This window comes from Homo sapiens, chromosome 15 (assembly GCF_000001405.40).
Source record: "Homo sapiens chromosome 15, GRCh38.p14 Primary Assembly".
Lineage (NCBI taxonomy): Eukaryota > Metazoa > Chordata > Mammalia > Primates > Hominidae > Homo > Homo sapiens.
The window spans coordinates 72,950,781-72,972,843 of NC_000015.10; positions in this window are offsets into that span (position 1 = coordinate 72,950,781).

Below are 22,063 nucleotides of genomic sequence, written 5' to 3' on the forward strand. Positions count from 1 at the left end.
GGCCTTCTCAGTGGATGCAGAAAAAATATTTGATGAAATTCAACATCTGTTCATGATAAAAACTCTCAACAAACTAGGCATAGAAGGAACATACCTTAATACAATAAAGGTCATATATGACAGACCCACAGCTAACATTATGCTGAATGGGAAAAAGCCGAAAGACCTTCCTCTAAGAATTTGGATCCTCAATCAAATACTATTTGGCCATAAAAAAGAATGAAGCCAGCCGGGCATGGTGGCTCACATCTGTAATCCCAGCACTTTGGGAGGCCGAGGTGGGTGGATCACCTGAGGTCAGGAGTTCAAGACCAGCCTGGCCAATGTGGTGAAACCCCGTCTCTACCAAAAATACAAAAATTAGCCAGGCGTGGTGGCGGGCCCCTGTAATCCTAGCTACTCCAGAAGTTGAGGTAGGAGAATCACTTGAACCCGGGAGGCAGAGGTTGCAGTGAGCTGAGATGGTGGCATTGCACTCCAGCCTGGGCAACAGAGTGAGACTCCATCTCAAAAAAAAAAAAAAAAAAAGAAATGAAGCCATGTCACTTGTGGCAACATGGATGGAACTGGAGATCATTATGTTAAGTGATATTTGTCACACAGTAAGACAAATATCACATATAATCACTCATATGTGAGAGCTAAAAAAATAGGTTGATCTTACGGCGGTAGAGAGTAGAATGACAGTTACTACAGGCTGGGAAGGATGTGGGTGTGGGAGATGAAGAGAGGTTTGTTAATAGATACAAATATACAGTTAGATAGAAGGAATAAGTTCTTAGACTGTGAATTTCTTAAGAGAAAAAAAGAAGGAATAAGTTCTAATGTTTGATAGTAGAATAGGGTGACTGTAATTAACAACAATGTATTACATATTTCAAAATAGCTGAAAGCAAAGACTTGAAATGTTCCCAACACACAGAAATGATAAATGTTTGAAGTGATGGATATCCTTAACACCCTGACTTGATCATTACACATTCTATGCATGTAACAAAATATCAGATGTATCCCATAAATATGTAAAAATATTATGTATTAATAAAAATAAATAAAAATTTTAAAAATTTTAGGTAATTTATAACGTGCAGCCAGGGTTGAAAGCCAGTGCTCCAATTTCCTGGTCTTTATTATTAAAACCCATGGTTTATGAATACATTACGCTAAAGTCCAACACAGCAGTTCTGGGTGCTGTTGTGAGCCATGGTAAACAAGGGGTGTATCTGAGCCCCAGCTCTCCAGTGATCAGCAAGGACAGGCCACCTGTGCCTCCAGGGGCAGCCTCTGTAGAGTCACAGATCCTCTCAGTGCGGAGAACCTGTCTTGGTTCCTCAAGGGGAACCAAGGGAAGATATTCCAGAGGGCTCATAGGTCAGGGACCTGGTCACTATCCTTTCAGCACAGCTGTAGCCCTCTGTGGGCCCAGGGAAGCCTGATGCCAGCTGCCCCAGGGTAAAGCCTTGGCAGATGCCAAGTGGGAGAAGGAGGTGGTGTTCCCTCGGGGAGAGGGGGAAATGCTACACAGAGCAACATGGGATTCATCTGCAGAAGAGAGGTCAATTGCTTACCCTACTGGAACCAAAAAGTCTCTTGGCAAAGGGAGTTCTGAGCTGATAAACACAGGCTCAGTCTTCCAGAATCCACACTGCAGGCTGAGAACTGGAAAGACAGTAGGGAGACTTATTGCTTTCTGGGTGTTTTGCCCAGAATCTCCCTTCTGGTAAAGCACTAGGGTGGGTAGTAGGACTCACTCTTTGATCTTTGGCAAGTCCCTCCTACTCTCTGGGCCTCGGTTTCCCTTCTATATAATGAAGGAGTTGAATCAGCTCACCCTTAAGGTCTCTTCTGGATGCTGTTGCAGGGTCTACATGATTCCTGATGAATGATTTCCCCTGGAGAAGCTGCACATCTGTGCTCTGCCCCAGTATTTGTCTGGAAGGTGGAATTTCAAGCTGCCTCCTGGACTTGTCCTTTCCTTTCAGATTCCAAGGCCACTGCCCTGTCTGATGGTCATCCAGTCCTGATTCACTTCCCTCATCTGAGTCCCTGGTGATCCATCCTCCAGGAAGCTCAGCCTCACCTCAGGTCCTACAGAATTTAAATGGCCTCATCACTCGCACTCCAGGGAGGTGTGGTGTGGAATCTTCCTCAAGGACCCTGGGTTTTAAGCAGCACTGGTGTCACCCTCTGTTGCCAGCCTAAGGCTGTCCCCAAGGTCCAGGATCTCAGGGCAGCTCTGCTGATCTACAGATTTCTCTGGACCCACAGGACTGTTATAAGTTTGAGGATGCAGATTGGGGTCTGCTTGTCTCCTCCCAAAGGCTGATCCTCCCAGGCTCAGGCCTCCTGAATGAGCATCCCTATCAGTCCTTCACTGAGTTTCCTACCCCTTTCCCTACCCAGAATACTTTTCTCATTTGGAACCCTGGACATAACACAGGCCTTTCTTGTCCCCCTCATATATGATTCACTTCAACAGCCTCCTAACCTGTTTCCTTAAGGCTCTCTTTCTTCTACCCCCTACACCATACTACAGATTCATCTCCCTAAAACAGTCCTGCCTTGGGTTAGCTGGCACTTTGCTCAAAAACCTTCAATGGGACATGAAGACCTCTGTGCTCAGTTCAAATTCTCTGCCAACCATTTGGGGCCCAGAGGCCTAGAGCTTCCTGGTTTAGGGAGCCCCTTCTGTGCATCCAGGTGACCCCACCCCGCGGTGTGGCAGTCTTGTCTATCTGCTTCATTGTCTTAGGCTGTGTGTGCTTCCCCAGCTTGGAATGTCCTCCACTCTCTCCCTCCATTTTAAAAATTCCATCATCCAGCCAGGCACGGTGGCTCACACCTGTAATCCTAGCACTTTGGGAGGCCGAGGCGGGAGGATTACCTGAGGTCAGGAGTTCGAGACAAGCCTGGCCAACATGGCAAAACCCTGTCTCTACTAAAAATACAAAAATTAGCTGGGCATGGTGGCACACACCTGTAGTCCCAGCTACTCAGGTGGCTGAGGCAGGAGAATCTCTTGAACCTAGGAGATGGAGGTTGCAGTGAGCTGAGATTGAGCCATTGCACTCCAGCCTGGGGAACAAGAGCGAAACTATCTCAAAAAAAAAAAAAAAAAAGCAAAACAAAAACAAAAAAAACCCCATTAAATTAAAAATAAATAAATAAATAAACAAAAATTCCATCATCCATTCAAGATTCCTGCTCTGTCCCTACCTCTGCCAAAAGTCTGTTCAGACTATTCCAGCACATACTGGTCTCTTCATCCTTTTGTTTCTTTTCTGACTCCATCAGTACCACTATTTCAGTTGTACTTGAAGATACTGAGCTCCTTGAGGGTGGAAACTGTAACTTATACTTGTTTTGTGTCCCATGATGATGCCTAGCACCAGGGCTTTGTGCACAGTGGGGTGGGAGACACTCATGGCTGCCCACGCAACAGCATGGCTTTCTTGCTGACCAATCAGCCTCTACTACAGGAGGGTGTTGAGGAGGGAACCTGAAAGCTGCATTTGCCAGCCTCCCATGTACAAGGACAGGGATGCATGATCCACTCCTTGCACTGGAGCCTGAAGGGAGTTCTGACGGGAGGTGTGGGAGAGATTCTTTCCTGTGTGAGGCAGGAAACTCCCCTACATCTCAATCCATGCAAATCAGTAGGGAACCAATAACAGTTCCTACCTCCTCCCAGCCTTGAGCTAGGACCACTGAACTACAGCATCCCCCGAGGCTCATTGTAAGCTGGTGAGACCTCAGAAACAAGACCTAGAAGCTCATAAATACACAGGGCTTGGTTTTGTTTCATTTCTGATAGTTCATCGAGTCAATGACCAACAATTAATGCTTTAGAAGAAGATAACAGTCTCTGATAATGGACCTACCCACTCATATAATTCTGGAAAATATGCCTTCCTGACCCCTCCAGGCAATCAGCTCATACCATGAAATATGAAATCCACGCATGCATAACTGTGAATGTTATTAACAATCATAAAACCATGCAACTCCTTCGGAAATCCAAGCCTTATTTCCAATACAAATTACCCCCTGCCACAGACTGGGTTATTCAGGATAGAAAGAAGTATTTCCTTTCCTTTGTTAAAATTTACGAGTCATTAATTCTACTGAATGAGAGGCTTCTCATATTATAGACAAGTTGAAGCTTTTTTCCTGAGGGGAGAGCTGCATATGGAAAGTTCCCTGTTTGGGTCTAGAGATGTCCAGCAACAGTCTTTGATAACCTAGAAGAGTTCACTGTCGGTTCCATTAATACCCATCTGTAAGTACAAGTTGGTACCTTGGCTGAGTAGGAGCTGGGACCTGTATGCTCATGGGTAGCGGGGTGAGGCAACACATCAACTCTTACCCCCAACCCAGTATCTACTTGCAAGCACTGATCAAAATGATCGGGAAATAGTTTGGTAAACTCTGGGATAGCACATAGGTTGCCTGACCATACTCCACTGATTCCCAGTGTTCTGGGAGCTCCCTCTCCTTTAACCCCTCATACTGCCACTGTTTACATTTCAATAGGAGCAGACAAGTTCCTGCTGTACGACTCTGGTCATCTTCCCCACTGTTGAATGGATCAGCACCTGATCAAAACTGGGTCAATCAATTAAGACATCTTCCCAAATATTTGAAACTAGAACTAAAAGAGATCAGCTTCTCCCTGAACTTCCTGGACAAGTAAACTCAGGAGTGGTCCACGGCCATGTTTTCTGCAAAAGACCATATACAAAAACAGAGAAGGAAAGAGGGAAACAGATGCAAGTTGGAGGGAAGGGGTGCTGTTGGCTTCCTACCCCCTATTCTAGTCTCTATTCATAATCTAGATCTGAGGTCTGGCTGTGTCTCTTCCTTTAGTTTCCAGGAAACATCCCTGATCCCATAACAAATTTCCTTCATTAAAAAAAAAAATTGACACTCACTCAAGTGGATTTTTGTGATTTTCTACCAAAACACTCCAAATACACATAACATTGGGCATTATATAACTGTTAAAAGTTTGCATATAGGCCTAGGTATGGTGGCTCATGCCTATACTCCAGCACTTTGGGAGGCTGAGATTAAAGAATCACCTGAGCCCAGGAGTTCAAATCAGCCTAGGCAACATAGTGAGACCATGTCTCTACAAAAAAATATTAAAATTAGCCAAGTGTGGTGGCATATACCTGTAGTCTCAGCTACTCAGGAAGCTGAGGTGGGAGGATCACTTGAGTCAGGGAAGTTGAGGCTGCAGTGAGCTGTGATACCACTGCACTCCAGCCTGGGTGATGGAACGAGACCCTATCTAAATAAAACAAAAATTTGCTTATAAATAATTTTTAGTATCAAGGGAGATGGCTTCTGACATCATGATAGGTCATTAAAAATCAAGCTATAAAATTATATTAAGTGCAATCTTAACAATATAAAACAACGGAGGAGTTAAAAACCATCAAAACATTATTTGTGATTATGTATTTCTTTTTTGAGACAGGGTCTCGCTCTTTGCCCAGGCTGGAGTGCAGTGGTGTGATCCCGGCTGACTGACACCTCCACCTCCCAGGCTCAAACAATTCTCCTTCCTCAGCCTCCAGAGTAGCTGGGATTACAGGTGCATGCCACCACACCTGGCTTATTTTTGTATTTTTAGTAAAGATGGGGCTTTGCCATGTTGGCCAGGCTAGTGTTGAACACCTGGCCTCAAGTGATCTGCCTGCCTTGACCTCCCAAAGTGCTAAGATTATAGGCATGAGCCACCATGCCCCGCCTATTTGTGATTCTTTCTAAGTAGTGGGATTGCAGGTGAGTTTTATTTTCTTCACTGGGTCTTTTTTCTCTATGTACTTTACACATTTTTTATAAAAAGTATGTATTAATTTTATAATCATAAAATCAGATTTGTTTAAAAGTCAACATATTTAAGAATCTTTCCCTGCTTCCTTCTCCTTTCCCAAAAAGTCTGCAGCGGAAGACCCAGTTTGAGTCCAAGTGTGTTCACCAACAAAATGTAACCATGTCTAGAGAACTTGGAGGGATCTGTTGGCATGAGGGGGTAGGAGCCTGCTAGTAAAAAACTCACTCACACAAGAGTCCAGATACCAAGTTGGCCCACTGATGGAACCTTGGTTTTCAAGTGAGGTGTAATTCCATGTATAGCTGAGTGTCCATCCCTCAGACCTGCTCCAGCCAGTCTCCTGTGGCTGAGGGCACAGCAAGAGAGTGTGAATTAGAACGGAAAGTGCTCTTTCACTGAAAATTTAGGGACACTAAGGGGTATGCACAGCTTTCACTTGGGGTTCTTCCAATAGAGCATAACATTTCAAGGAGTACAGATACTGTACCTCTTGCTCATTTTGCTATAGACCACTATACCGCCTTGACACTATGGGGCCTGGGGTATTGGCACTGGTGTGGATGATGGTGACAACAAGGCATGGCAGAGGTGGCAGCATCCAGGAGTAGCAGCAGTCATGCATGTGAGCTACAGCAGATACAGTGACAGCTTCTAATTAATGCAGAGGAATGGAAGAGTCCCACAGATCTGCAGTGATGTCCAGCAAAGGCCAATGTTCAGTGGGAAGGCAGGTTCAGTGTTAGAAGGACAGGAGTAGAGAAAACAGAATAGGAGGGAAGGAACAAAATGTTAGTAGCTGACTGGATGGCTGAATGGAAAGCTGCAAGCTAAAGCTACCCCAGAAACCCTTAGTAGACGGCTAATGCCTTGTTAAGAATTTTACCACCTGGCCATTCCTGCTAAAGAGGTTGGAAAAGCAAGTCTTCAACTTTCCCTTTTTTTTTTTTTTTTATACGGAGTCTCGCTCTGTTGCCCAGGCTGGAGTGCAATGGCACGGTCTCTGTTCACTGCAACCTCCGCCTCCCGGGTTCAAACGATTCTCCTGCCCCAGCCTCCTGAGTAGCTGGGATTACAGGTGCCTGCCACCACGCCCAGTTAATTTTTGTATTTTTAGTAGAGATGGTGTTTCACCATATTGGCCAGGCTGGTCTCGAACTCCTGACCTTGTGATCTGCCTGCCTCAGCCTCCCAAAGTGCTGGGATTACAGGCATGAGCCACTGGGCCCGGCCAACTTTTCCATTCTTAATCTAGAAGTAAGCAAGGAGGAGGGAGTATTCAGACTGAGTATTGACTTGATAAAGGTGATTAAAAAGTCAGTATCAGATTAGGGCTGGGCACCGTGGCTTATGCCTTTAATCCCAGCAATTTGGGAGGCCAAGGTAGAAGGATCCTTGACCCCAGAAGTTTAAGGCTGCAGTGAGATATGATTGCACCACAGCATGCCAACCTAGGTGACAGAGTAAGGCCTCATCTCTAAAAAAAATTTTTTTAGTTAAAAATAATCAGTATCAGATTAAATACAGGCAGGTATTATGGGGAAAATCTAGAAGGGTTCTGCATTCAGATTTGGCTTATGAAACATAAAAAGAAAATATCTTATCCCTATATCAAAAGATAGTGAATGGACATTCATTTATATATTTTAAGTTAAAATATTTAACACACGCTTATGTCATTCTTTATAATACCCCACAGTAACTGGCAATTTCCAACTTGTCAACTATAGATCCTATCACAACTGGTAGACTGAGCAGACTTCTATTACATCCTTCTTATTTTGAAAATAGCTTTATTCTTTTAAAGATTTAGGCTTATTATAAATATTGTGATCATACAGAAATGTACAAAGAACAAAGCAAAATTCAGCTGTTAGGGTGAACATCCTTCCAGACATCCCTCCATGTGCACCTATTAAAATATTATACAAATGGGATCATGCTGTTCTGTTATCCCTTTTTTGCACTCAATTATACATGTCATAGGCAAATTTTCATGTCATCAAATCTACATCATCATTTATATATTGTCTATATGGAAGTGCCTTAATTTCTTTATATTTTTTAAACCAATGATTTAACCTTATTGATAACCATCCACTTTTCACTGTTATAAACAAGGCTGAGATGGAAAGACTTGTCTTTAGATCTCCATTTGTTTTGGCAATGATTGTCCGGGGGTAAATTACAAGAAGTGAGATCACTGGGTCAAAGGTACACTCATTTGAAATGTTCATTCCTGCCAGCCCAGTGGACTGCAGAAAGGCTGGGCCAATTTATGTCACCACCAGCAGAGCATAAAAGGGCCGGGCTCCAGCCCCTCACCAGTCCGAGATTTTGTCATTCTTCTGTTTCCTAGAGTAAAACTTCAGAAGGATTCTCTTCATCCATCTTTTGTCTACTATGTTCTTTTTTGTAGATGCTTTTTTGCATAGGTTTCATGCTGAGTTTTTTTCTGCCTATCTTTAATGGAGAGCAGTTCTCTCAGGGTTTACCATCTGCTTGAAAATGGTATGCATGAAATCTCCTTGACTCCTTTTCCTGTTGGTTTGGTTACTATCCGAATCTTCACTTAGCATTTAAGTTGGAAGGCTAGAATCTAATCATGATTTTCCCCTGTTTATTTGCCAGAAAGACTTGGTGAAGGCATAGAACCTTGATTTATCTCCTAAATTGTTGCCATTTCTGCTACCTGGACAACTTGGTCAAGTTGGAGAAGTCTGGGTTTTGCCTTGTCTCCCCTCTTCTGGGTAGGCTAATGAGAGGTGCGTGAGCAATGCCAGGTGGTTCGTAAAGTGAATCTGCTTCTCTTTTAAAAAGAGAGTGAGCCAATTGAGACAAACACAGGCAAAAACCCAGCTGCAGCAACATCCTCCTGGCTAATTGGATCCTACCTGGGAAGGGCCATCTTCTAGATAGCTTGTTCCCAAGCAGTGTTCCCAGCTGGCCCCTCAGGAAGTATTAGGCCTGTCCTTGGCTAATCCCACAGTTTAGCGTTGACATAATTCTATCTGACCCAGTCTCCAGAAAGACTCAAAGACTTCTCAGCTAATAGCTCTGTCCTAACATCTAGAACCACACCCTCAAAGATGAGATGGTACCCCTGATTTCCACAATCCTCTCCTTTGGGACACAGAGCATACCATCCCTGACTGCACCAGACATAGTTATTCTCTGCCCATGGGCTACTCTTTCTTCTCAGGAGGCCTCAGGGCAACTGTGGGGTCTCCTGAGAAAGCCATCTGTAGGTAATGGGACCAGGACTATCAGAGGATATCATCTATGACCACAGTAGGTGGGCAAGAAGCAGAGTTAGTTCCCTGTTCAGAATCAGAGCCCCAAGAGACTGGCAGGACATTCCTGTGAGAATCACAGTTTGTTTTAGGAATCTCACCAGCCACTTAAGAAAATACAGATGGCCAAGAGCACCCCAGGACCAAGGTCATTGACTGATTCAGTAATACCTCTTGGCCTTCCACCTCTGTATGAATTTGTTATTGCTGCCAGGACAAATTACCACAAATGTGAGAGCTTAAAAAAAACACCCATTTATTATTTCACAGTTTGCAGGTCTGGAGTTTGACATGGGTCTCACTAGGCTACAAGGTGTCAGCGGGCTGTTTTCCTTACTGGAGGAGGGTCACTTACAGGTTCATGAAGGTTGCTGGCAGTGTCCAGTTGTATGTGGTTGTAGCACTGGGGTCCTTATTTCCTTGGTGGCTATTGGCCCTGGGTCATTCTCAGCTTTTAGAAGCCATCCACATTCCTTCACGTTCTCCTTATCTTTGAAGCCAGCAATAGAGAGTCAAGTCCTTCTTGTGCCTTACCTTTCCTGTCTTCTCTTCTGCTGTATCTCTTCAACTAGGAAAGATTCTTCTCCTTTTTTTTTTTTTTGAGACAGAGTCTCGCTCTGTCGCTCAGGCTGGAGTACAGTGGCGCGATCTCAATCTTGGCTCACTGCAACCTTCACCTCCCAGGTTCAAGCAATTCTCCTTGCCTCCACCTCCCAAGTAGCTGGGATTACAAGTGCCCACAACCACCGCCCCCAACTAATTTTTGTATTTTTAGTAGAGATGGGGTTTCACCATATTGGCCAGGCTGTTCTTGAACTCCCGGCCTCAAGTAATCTGCCTGAGTTGACCTCCCAAAGTGCTGGGATTACAGGTGTGAGCCACCGTGCCTGGCCAATTCTTCCACTTTTAAGGGTTCATGTGATTACACAGAGCCTACCTGGCTAATCCAGGATAATCTTCCCATCTTTTTTTTTTTTTTCTTTTTTTTGAGACAGAGTCTCTCTCTGTCACCCAGGCGGGAGTGCAATGGCAGGATCTCAGCTCACTGCAACCTCCACCTCCCGGCTTCAAGCAATTCTCATGCCTCAGCCTCCCGAGTACCTGGGATTACAGGCACCCACAACCACGCCCCACTGATTTTTGTAATTTCAGTAGAAGTGGGGTTTCGTCATATTGGCCAGGCTGGTCTTGAACTCCTGGCCTCAGGTAATCCACCAGCCTTGGCATCCCAAAGTGCTGTGATTATAGGCGTGAACCACCACACCTGGCCCATCTTAAGATCTATAACCTTAATTGTATCTGTAAAGTCTCCTTGCCATGCAAATTTAATATATTCACAGGTTCCAGGGATGAGGCAAGGACATCTTTGGGGCCATTATTCAGCTTACCATGGCCCTTTTGGCCAAGAGTCATCCAGGAGTAAGAGCCCGGCAGAGATAATTCCAAGGAAGACCCACATGATTTCCTCTCCTCCATCCCCCTCCCACAACACACCCATCCCTGGGAACCAGTTGGCCAGATCTTCCAGCTGAATACTTCACCAGACTCATGCCACAATGCATCACTATCAAGGCGAGGCTGAGCACCTGGCACAGCCAACTCCCTCTGGAGAGCTGGGGCAAGGCTGGTACTTTCAACCCAAGCCCTGAGTGGCCTGTCTGCTCACTGCTGTTTCCTGAAGCTCAGCCAATATGCCTAGGAGGATCCCAAGGATTTTGGGCTTCAGTCCAATATGCCTATAAGCAGAAGGCTCTGCTTTCCCTTTGCAGGAGACGGTTAGAGGCTTGGGTTAGGGTCTCGGTGGAATTATAAATAGTATAATGGCATTACTGCTAGGGACCCAGGAAGGCTAAAATATTGTCCTGCCAATCATTCAGCACCCCTTGGCATCTCATATAAGGAGGAATAAAAGGATGTAAATTAAAAATGTCTTTTTTTTTTTTTTTGCTAGCCTTATTGGTAGCTGAAATGTCAATGCAAAAGCTGGAGAAAGAACGACTGTATCAGGTGGCTGGTTCCCCACTCTCCCTCCTCTTGAAGCTAAATCTGGTGGCAGCACACACAAGTATACATGCTAAGGAGAGAGCAGGGCCCAACTGAACTTACTTATTGACTACATATCCAGGAACAGAGAGGCATGGCCAGGCCCTCACTGAGATGGCAACACAACCTGGGTCTGCTCACCACATACAGGAAGGAAGCAAAAGCACAGGAAGCCCCAAAGACCGAGACCTTCCTAGGACCAAAGCGGGATAGAGGAGAAAAGGTGTTGCCTTTAATGTACAGTGACCTGGTGGTTTACCAGTAAAATGTGGCCCAGTGAATATTCTGGACTCTGACCTGTCAGATTAGCACCTGTTCTTCCTTTGGGCAGGGAGGGGAGCTAGGAAGGCGTTAGAAAGAGGCTGTGCTGGTGTGTGCAGAGTAGACAGTGGGGGGTTTCACTAGTGCCTGCCTTTGTCTGCTTCTGGTCTCAACCCAGTGGCTGCCCCTAGGTTTCTGGGGATGGATGATGAGAGTACTGTTGACCCATGCGCTTGTGAGCCAGGCACCTTGGTAATCAGATGCCCAGCGGCTGTGAGTTGTAGCTGACCACGCCCACCAGAGGAAGAATATATCACCCAGGGAAGGCCATTTAACCAGAGACATGCAATGGTGTAGCCACTCTGAGACCTTCTGATCTACAATGCTGGGGTGAGCTGCTCCCCGAAATGCCCAGATATCCTAAACTCCTGAGATTCAAAAGACCATGCAGACTCTTTTGCACCATATTTCTGTGCGGAGATCTTTCTGGCTTGGATTTGGGGAATTCAGACAGTTTCCCATGTTCAAAGAATTATCAAGATTCTCTCCAGGAAGATTTCACTGATGCCCAGGTCAGAGTTTGATGTCCTACCTGGTGCTTTCCTGCCTGCCCCATACTGCACTGAAATCACCTTCTGTTGGTCTGTCTTGCCGAGACCAGCTCAGTTGTGGAGACCCTAACCCAGCAGTGCTAGAGGAATTAAAGACACACACACACAGAAATACAGAGGTGTGGAGTGGGAAATCAGGGTTCTCACAGCCTTCAGAGCTGAGAGCCTTGAACAGAGATTTACCCACATATTTATTGAGAGCAAGCCAGTGATAAGCATTGTTTCTATAGATTATAGATTAGCTAAAAGTATTCCTTACAGGAAATAAAGGGATGGGCTGAAATAAAGGGATGGGTTTGGCTAGTTATCTGCAGCAGGAGCATGTCCTTAAGGCACAGATCGCTCATGCTATTGTTTGTGGTTTAAGAACGCCTTTAAGCGGTTTTCTGCCCTGGGTGGGCCAGGTGTTCCTTGCCCTCATTCTGGTAAACCCACAACCTTCAGCGTGGGCATCATGGCCATCACGAACATGTCACAGTGCTGCAGAGATTTTGTTTATGGCCAGTTTTGGGGGCAGTTTGTGGCCAGATTCGGGGGCCTGTTCCCAACACTGTCTCCTCTAATAAACTGTGAATTCCTTGAAGCCAGGGACTGCTTTTTTCTCCATTTTCTTCCCTGGCCTAGTGTAGGATGTCACACAGTAGGGGCTTAGCTAGTGGCTGATGGTGGACGCTAAATGATTGAAATAGCTATCCTACCCCAACCAGTCCCAGGCTGGGTTCCTGGCACAGGCTGGCATTTGTACATGAACACCATGGCTGCTTGTTCCACTGTGGCCTCAGCTCCCACAGCAAGTTTCTCCTACAGCTGAACCTGGCTGGAAATGCAGGCATAAGAGCCCCCGGAGGGAGCCAGTAGTCATCACAGCCAAAGGTCTTTGGGAAGCCTTCATTACCATCTGGGTATGCCTTGCCAATCTCGAGCTCCCCAGGCTTGGCACTTTTTAGGACAGCCTTTGTCATGGTCTGACAGACATGACAGCTCTCCCTGTCTCACACTATCTGATCCAGTCATATTGAGCTTTCATATTGGAACTCTCTAGGACCTACTCAACCTAGGCAGGCAGATCTCTTTTATTTCATCACATTGTTGAAGATGCCAGAACTTTGGGACTAATGATTGATCTTAGAGGTTGGAATGCACAGCCAGCCTGCCAGTCAGATCTCCTCCTGGTACTTTGCTGCCCTTCCTCTTGTCTCGACCTCTGTCTGCTCCACTGATGCCCATCACTTGGTCCTTTCATCCGAGAAAGAATAAGAATGGAATCAGGTGCTTTGTAGAGTCCACTTTATAAAAGAATGGGAAGAGCTTTTAAAAATTCCCTACCAAGCTTGACCCACTAGGCAATAACTCTTACTCAATCTCATTGCTTCATGAAATTTCATTGACTCCCTGCACCCTCCATCTCCCTGCTCCACCCTAGGCTACTTCCTTGGCACTGATCTTATTCCAAGGACTGGGCCAGGCCCATGGGTACACATAGCTAACCATTCCCCAGTCCCTGGCTTTCAGCCACCATCCAAGGCTGGTTCCCTGCTCTCCCCAGCACTTCTCCAGTTCTACTCTGATTTGGGCCATATAGATGGAAAAGGGATCAGCTGGGTGACTAGGCAGGTAATGAATCCCAGGACTGTAGGACACTTATTGACACAACACTGGGGTAGTGGAGACTCACAGAAAATACAGAAAGCCTTCTACTTTTTCATCTACCTTCCCTGTTCTCCAACTGAGTATAATTTCATCATCTGCTCAGATTGGAAGTCATATGGCCTCCTTGTTTGTTTTTCTCATCTTACTTTACCCATAGTTTTGGTAAGAAATTGGTGAGGAGGGTTGGCTCTTGGAGGTTTTTGAGCTAAAGATGACATGATCAGAGTTGCTCTGTGGTAAAACTATGTGAGGATGGAGGAAGCTGAAGACCAGTTTGAGGTTACTCATGTAGGTCAAGTGAGGGATCTAAACTTGAATAGAAGTAGGGTATGACAACATGGGGACGTTGATGGTACAACAGGTGCAAAATATTGTGGAACAAGAACTGCTAGAGGTAAGAGGGATTGGATGTGAAATTTGTGGAGGGAAGAATCTGTGAAAACACTAAGATTAACAGCTTGGATAATTAGGACTGTGGTGGTGACATTAACAAAACACTGAACACAAGTAATATATGTTTCTAGGGTTTCTTTCTTTCTTTCTTTCTTTCTTTTTTTTTGAGATGGAGTTTCACTCTTGTTGCCCAGACTGGAGGGCAATGGCACAACCTTGGCTCACTGCAAACTCCGCCTCCCAGGTTCAAGCTATTCTCCTGCCTCAGCCTCCCAAGTAGCTGGGATTATGGGCACCTGCCACCATGCCTGGCTAATTTTTTGTACTTTTAGTAGAGACTGGGTTTCACCATGTTGGCCAGGCTGGTCTCAAACTCCTGACCTCAGGTGATCCATCCACCTAGGCCTCCTAAAATGCTGAGATTACAGGTGTGAGCCACCATGCCCGGCCTAGGGGATCATTTTGAGCTCATTTTGTGATCTACTGAGTTTGAGTAGGATCTCCAGACATAGCATTCTAGGAAGCAAAGAGGAATACTGGGCATCAATTTGAGAGAGAGGAAGATCACAGTTATAGCTACAGACATCATCTACATAGAGAGAACACTTAAACATAAAACAGAATGAAAGCTGCAAAGGAAAAATTATCAGGCTGTCCCCTCTGCCTGGAATGCCCTTTCTTCTCATACCTGCTGCTGCAGGTATGCATTGTTGGATGACAACCCTAAAACTTAGTGGCTTTAAACAACAATTATTTTATAGTAAACTTTCATGGTTTTGAGGGTTGACTGGCCTTAGTAGGGTGCTTCTTGCTCAGAATGTCTCAAGTAACTATCACCAGTCAAGTTCTTACGGCTGAAATAATCTCGATCTCTCTTCCTCTCTTCTGTTTCTCCAGCATGGTGGCTCAGGAAGTCAGGGTAGCCAGACTTCTCACATGGAGGCTCCAAACACATGTCACAAGTGAGCTACCGCAAGGAGGAAGCTGTATCTCCTTTTATGACCTAGCCTCAGAAGTCAGGCAGCATTACTTCTGCCACATTCTACTCTTCAGAGAGGCAGTCATAAAAGCTCACTCAGGGTCAAGGGGTGGGGATATAGGCTCTACCTTTAGATGGGTAAGTGGAAAGTTTCTATAAGGTCATGTGGGACTGGAAATTTTTTTTATTCATTCTGGGAAAATCTGTCTTCTCTTCCAAAACTCAATACAAGAAACCATCCCAAATCCTCATGCTTGGTATAACTGCCACTCTTCAGTAGCCTTCCAGCATTTTACATCCTATGACAATGTTTAGCACTACAGGCATCGTCATCTGGTTATACATGTAGCCATCTGACTCAATTGTAAGCTTCTATAAGTCAAGACCCGGGTCTCGCTCTGTTTTGGTGGAGTGCAAAGTAGCAGGTAGATCTAGATTGTTGATTTAAATTTAATTCCAAAAATAGGAGAAGACTGTATGTGGAAGGTTAGTGAAAGCTGTATTTGAGACACAGGAAACGAAATAGGCCATGGAGACTTCGAGGGGAGTTTTTTCAAAACCAAACCATAATAGTCTTGGCAAAAATATTGTGGACATTTTCCTTACCTATGAAAACTGTCGCTGAATAAAATTAACCATATCTATGATAATTAGCAACAACAAAAACCCCTCCACAATTAATGCTTTGTAAGCAATAGCTACTGAACAAGTTTCTTATTTTCATAACAGGGAACTTCTGAATAGTCAAACCTTAGAAGAAATCCTAACCATAAAACAGAACCAAATTTGCAAGGATTGTTTTCCCATCCAAAACTTATGGTATAATAAGGCATACCATAATCAAATTTATCAATGATTAAATAATCTTAAAATAAGACTAAGATACCATTTTTTGCCTATCAAATTGGGAGAGCTTTTAAAAATATTCGTAAAATGGCCCAATGCCACCAAATGAACGTTCAGACATTTCTGACAGACGGGAGACTTGGCCAAGCCTTCTGGAAGATAAAGAGCTGTTAAGAGTTCGCTCCCTTTCATTCAGGAATTCCAGCACTAGAAATTTATTCTAAGAAAATAATCCTGGGTAGGGCAAAAATTCATATCGAGGATGCTCAACAAAGTATATGTTATGATAGCAAAATGCTGGAAACAACTAAATATTCAAATAGAGCTTGGTTAAATAGATTATGATTAATTCACTTGCTGAAACATTATGCAGCTATTTAAAAAATAACATTTTTGAAAACTCTTTTCTAGTACAAGAGCATGCTTACAAATTGATGTTCTCTGTAAATAAAACAGAATACAAACTGCACAAATTATAGGAAGTAGTATGATCCCAATTTTGTTTAAAAATTATATATGTATCGAGAAAAGACTAAAAGCACATTCCACAAAATGTTAACAGTAGTTATGTCAGAGTGATAGAATTATAGGACGTTTAAATTTTTTTCCCTATGCTTTTCTGACTTTTTTTTTTTTAACAATAAACATGTAATACTTTTGTAACCAAGGAGAAAAATGTATTTTTTGAAAAAACCCCAGGAATTGCTTCTGTGACTAGCTAGGTAATTAACAAAATGGAGGGAATGTTTTCCTGGAAAAAAAATTAAGTAATTTATGATGAAGTTCTTGGTATAGAATAACTCACACTTTCAAAAAAACCTAACATGCAAGAAAGCAGCCTGGACACAGACAGAAGCGCTATCTGTGAGGCGTGAAATTTCACACATGCCAAAGCCTGCACAGGTCCCACAGTGTATTTCCTTTAATGACACATGGGAACTTGTAAGTTCTCTGGCTGCAACTAAGACAGATTCTAATGGGCGGCAGGAGTGCTAAGCTGTGCCTTTCTGGTTCTACCCCACACTTCTCTACCCCACAACAAGGAACAAGTTGATTAACCTCTTTGAGCTCCTCAAGTCCCTCTCTGATATGGAAATCCACTAACATCAATAGGGCGCCTAAGGGCAAAAGTGGAAGAAAATAAACACTACAAATAAGATGGCTTTAGATAGAAGCCCAGGCCAGTGCAACAGGGACATTACACAGCTGTCTCCAACTGAACTGCCAACACCCTTGGCTGAGAGTCTGCCCAGGGTCTCGTTTCATACTCCTCTCATTGTAACACTGCTGTAGGTACCCAGGGAACAGCTGAGCTTTCTGCAGGCAAACAGAGCTGCCTGGGGCCCACCACTGCTCCTCTGATAAGACAGGCCTCTATTGTAGGAACTAATTACCACAATGCCATAAAGCTATCTGCCCTGGGCCGTGCATCAGAAGTGGTGACAGGCTCATAAAACCTGACTTCCCTGTGGATACCAAATGCCAGCCCTAAGGGAATATATGGTCAGTATTCAGGCCTTTCCGAGTTTGCAAATAAGCCAGATCCTAAAATCTTGTTTGTAAAGCATCATGAGGAACCTGAAGTACCAGAGAAACCATGTTCTAAATGTAGAACAGACATGGCACATAGTAGATGCTCAATAAATATTTGATGACCAGTGATGGCCAAGTGGAGGCCAAGGTCCAGTTCTAGCCCTTAGAAGCATTTGAACAAAATGTAGCTGCAAGCTGCATATTTTTCAATATAGGAAACAATTTTGTTTAATACCAGCAGCTAAAAGACGACTATCCACAGGATTAAATAATTGAATAATTAGTCTTAACTATATTTATCTAAATCTGTTTATGGAGAAGAAAGCAGATTTAACTAGAGGAAGATAAGAATGTAGACTGTAGGAAAGACTAAGGCAGAATCTAGGCAGTTTCAAGGAGTTTAAAGATGAGTGACACTACGTTATTATTTTACTTTTCATGTCCTTTATATAAACAGCACTTCCTTTTGGCTGGCAGCCAAGTTGGGCGTCATTTTACAATGATTACAAGGGAAAAGAGGAGAAATGATAACGAAGCCGTGTTAATCCATGCTGAAACAGTATGGAGTCACACGGTCCCCCTGTCAACACACCCAGGGAAGAGCCCAGCCAGGACCACCACACAAATCTAAGATTTAAGACCTGGTTGGGCCACTCACCAGCTCTGTGACTTGGGACCAGAAACATTCTCCCTGGAGCTTTAATCACCGAAGCATAAGAGTACTCATTCCATGAAGCCATTGGGAGGGTTAAATAAGATCATGCATTTAAGCACTCTTACACTGGCGCATAATACATGCTAGTTATGGTTATTATTAGAAATGTGTTCTAACCTTTTCCTCTAAGTTTCAGGAGGGTGGGACCCACGTGTTCATCTCATTTACTACTGTATACCCAACAGTAGTAAACCTGGCATGTGGCAGGGATTTAACAAATATTTGTAGGGGACAATCTGCTTGTTCTCATTTTTTTCCTCTGGTCAGTGACAAAGTGTTTTTCTGCATCTATCTCTGTCATTTTTTGGTCAAGTGGTTTATAATTATAGACATCATGACCCTTCATCCTTAAATATTTCACTGTGTCTCTAAAAAATAAGGACATTTTCTTTATAATGATATCATATCCAAAATTAATAATTTGTAAATATATAACACCTACACGGTACTCAAAGTTCTTCAATAATTCCCCAAAATATCCTATTACAGCTCATTTCCTTATGCCAGCTTTATTCCTTGACTGAATAAAGGATCAAAACTACATTCGGTGATTAGGTCTTTTAAGTCTCTTTTGATCTAAAAATAGCACCTCCACTCCTTTTTGCTTTCTATGACATTGACTTATTGAAGATACAGCTGTCCCTCAGTATCCATGGGTGATCAGTTCCAGGATGCCTGAGGATACCAAAATCTGAGGATGCTCAAGTCCCTTATATCAAATAGTGTAGTATTTGCATGTACCCTACACATATCCTCCCATATATGTACTTCAAATCATTTCCAGGTTACTTATAGTACTTAATACAATGTAAATGCTGTATAAATAGTTATTGTATTGCTTTTTAATTTGCATTATTGTTTTTATTTTTAGTATTTCTGATGCAGAGTTGGTGGAATCCACAGATACAGAAAACTGACCGTACTGTAGAATGTCCCACTTTTTTGATTTGCCTGATTGATTTACCACTGAGGTGATGCCTAACAAATTCCTGTCTCCCCTGTATTTCCCATGAGATGGAAATTAATTCTACAGTCTTGATGTGATTCAGGTAAAACCTTGTTATCCAGAAAACCTCATAGATGATGCTATGTACTTTAGCACTGTATCACACAAGGAGGGATGTCATGTCAAGTTGGCCTATTATCAGTGACACTGGGCTTGATCACTGGATTAAAATGGTGATGGCTTGCCTGATCCCTTTATTGCAAAGTTAAGGGTTTTCTCCTCTTGGAACTAGCAGATAAACTGGGGCGGTAGTTGATGCCCTGTAAATATGTAGCTCACCATTAACCTCTCACCAGCTGATCTTACAACCACTGATGGTCTTTGCCTGAATCAATCATCCCATAGGGGTTGCAGAATGGTGATTTTCCAATCCCATCATTCCTTCTTCACTTATTAGCGTGCACTCTTCTGTAAAAGAGCTTTCCTTCATCAACTGGGCTATTTAGTTACCCTGAAATATATAGCTCCTAGGGAAAAGACAGGTTATGTACTCGTAACTCTTTCCCCTGCATAACCCATTTTTAAAATAAGTTATTGGTAAATAGCATATTTTAAATCCTGGGGTAAAAAGGTTTTTCTCTCTCCTCTGGCTCCAATAATTGTTTTAGCATGAGCCTGGGAAAGGGTTTGGGGCCAGAAGTGTGAGATTACTTCCCATTCTGCTTAGTGGGAAGAAATCACACCTCCCATTTTACCCCCTCTATGACTCAGATTCCTTCTCAAGTTAGCTGATCCTAAGTCCTAAGATTAAAAGTTACGGTTTCTCAGCAGATCCTGGTTATATGATTTATAAATTTGGTGCTAATCTTTCCTCTGTCATTGGAGGTATCTCATAACATGATTTTTCCAATGCTTCCCTAGGAAGAGTATTTATTCCACAAACTGATGGAATTCAGTGGCATGTATTTCTCTCTTTGACTGCAAATTTTATTTTAAGCGTTCCAGTGAGAACTCTTAATTCTGAAACCTCAAATCAGAGTAAATAACTCCCCTCCTTCTCACTGACTACACCATTTACACGTGGCTGGGCCCACTGCTAGCATAAAACCTCAACTCTCTGCCCAGCCGAGCAGCATACACTGCTCTGAGCTCTTTAATATGTCCTCATAAATCCAGCTCCTCTCACTGCCCTCGGATTCCCTGTACCTCTACATTTCCTCCCCAATAACTGAGCTCAGCACGGCTGCAATGTGGTGCTCCCTTCCTGAAATCAGATGCAGAGTATTCTACCCTCTCTTTGACCCCTTTGCCTCCATGCTGCAACATAAGCTCCCATCTAATTGCTGCTCTGCCTCTCTCAGCAGAACCTGACCTCTTTCTGGGTCCCTCTCTTAAAGCAACTGTCTGTGTTTTTCATTATGTTTGCCAAGACATATTATCTTGAACTTTTCCCAGATGAAGCTCGTTTTTTTACTTTTTCTTCAGACCCCTGAGGTGGCAGGTTCAAGAATGCAGTCTTCAGAGGGAAGCTTTTGGTCTAGGAGGCTTCAGCCAGGACAGTTCAGTTAATCATACTCTCCCTCCGGGTACTGCCCCTTTAAGAAGTGGACAGACTCTGGTTCCAACTCCAAACCTCAGTTAGAAGTTCAAGCCACAAGACGAACACACATGTCCTGCCCAGAAAGCTGCCCAGCCTTGCTGTTGACTTTCTCCTGACAGCTTGTCATCCACATACCCATCCCACGCAAACGCAAACATATCCTTTTAAACATCGAAGTCTCAAAGCCTCCCCCATGAAAAGGAAGTTGAAAGTCAAGTTCCGGGCACCCTCGGCTTCTGTAGTTTGACCAGTAACCTGGTAAGAAGGGGCACCTCCTTTGACAACCCGAGTGTGCCCAACAATGCCAATGAGAATTCTTTAATGATCACTCGGAAGATGTCATCTCTGTGTCTCAGCGAATCCTTCTCTTAAAAAGAAAAGCACTCATGAGACTGGAAGAAGAGGGGGAAAACTCAGAGTGATAAGAATGCTAATCAGAACGAAGGGAATTTTCCAGCTTTTAGCTTTCCTAGCAAAAAAAAAAAAAAAGGCATCTATAAAAAAGTGTTGGAAGGCTTTTCTTGCAGCCTGGGGCCTTTGCCAGGGAACAGATTTCTCTCCCTCAACTCAGTTTCTTCCAGACCTTTTTCCTGTGCATTCTTTTTTCTTTCTTCTTCTTTCTCTTCTCTCTTAGCGGAGCCTCCTCCGGCTGAGAAGTAATCTGTGGGGAGCCCGAGGGGTCTGTACTGTTCAGGCCCTGGAAAGAGATGAAGGTAACTGCCTGCTGATAGGGGCACTGCACCATTTGGGATTGCAGTAGGGAGACCCCACTCCTCAACTGGAGGGATTCATAGAGGTCACACCCAGGGCTTCCTTGCTGCTTTTTCTGTCACCTCCCATGCTGTTTTCTTCCCTTCGGTGTAAGCCAGCCCTCTCTTTTTGTGGTAAGATGACTATGGGAGTCCCAGGCTGGAGGCTGACTCTTTGCACCCACTTCCCACACTTGTTTCTGACAAGTCTGATCTGTGTAGCTCAGCACATCCAAGGACAGCCTTCCCCTTGGCTTCGTTGTCCAGATGCATGACCCCAATGGCTTTGTAAATGAAATGGTATAATCTCAAGAGGCTAGCCTGCTGTAGAGAGAGGAATAAATAAATCAATATGTAAATAAATCCACAAGAGCAGAGGGGATGTACCGGGACTTTGCAAAACTATGATGAAGCATTTTAGAAGATGGATATTGCTGTATTTCTGGTGAGCTCTGATTGAAAGGCTATGATTCCAGCCATGGGCTGTAGGAGAGGGAAAGTGAGCTGTGACGGAAATTCCCTCATGGATTGATTTGACTTAAATATATTCCAGGAGCTGATCTAATTGCTGGTTCAGTCTTAGGCTTTGATTTTCCTTCTCACAA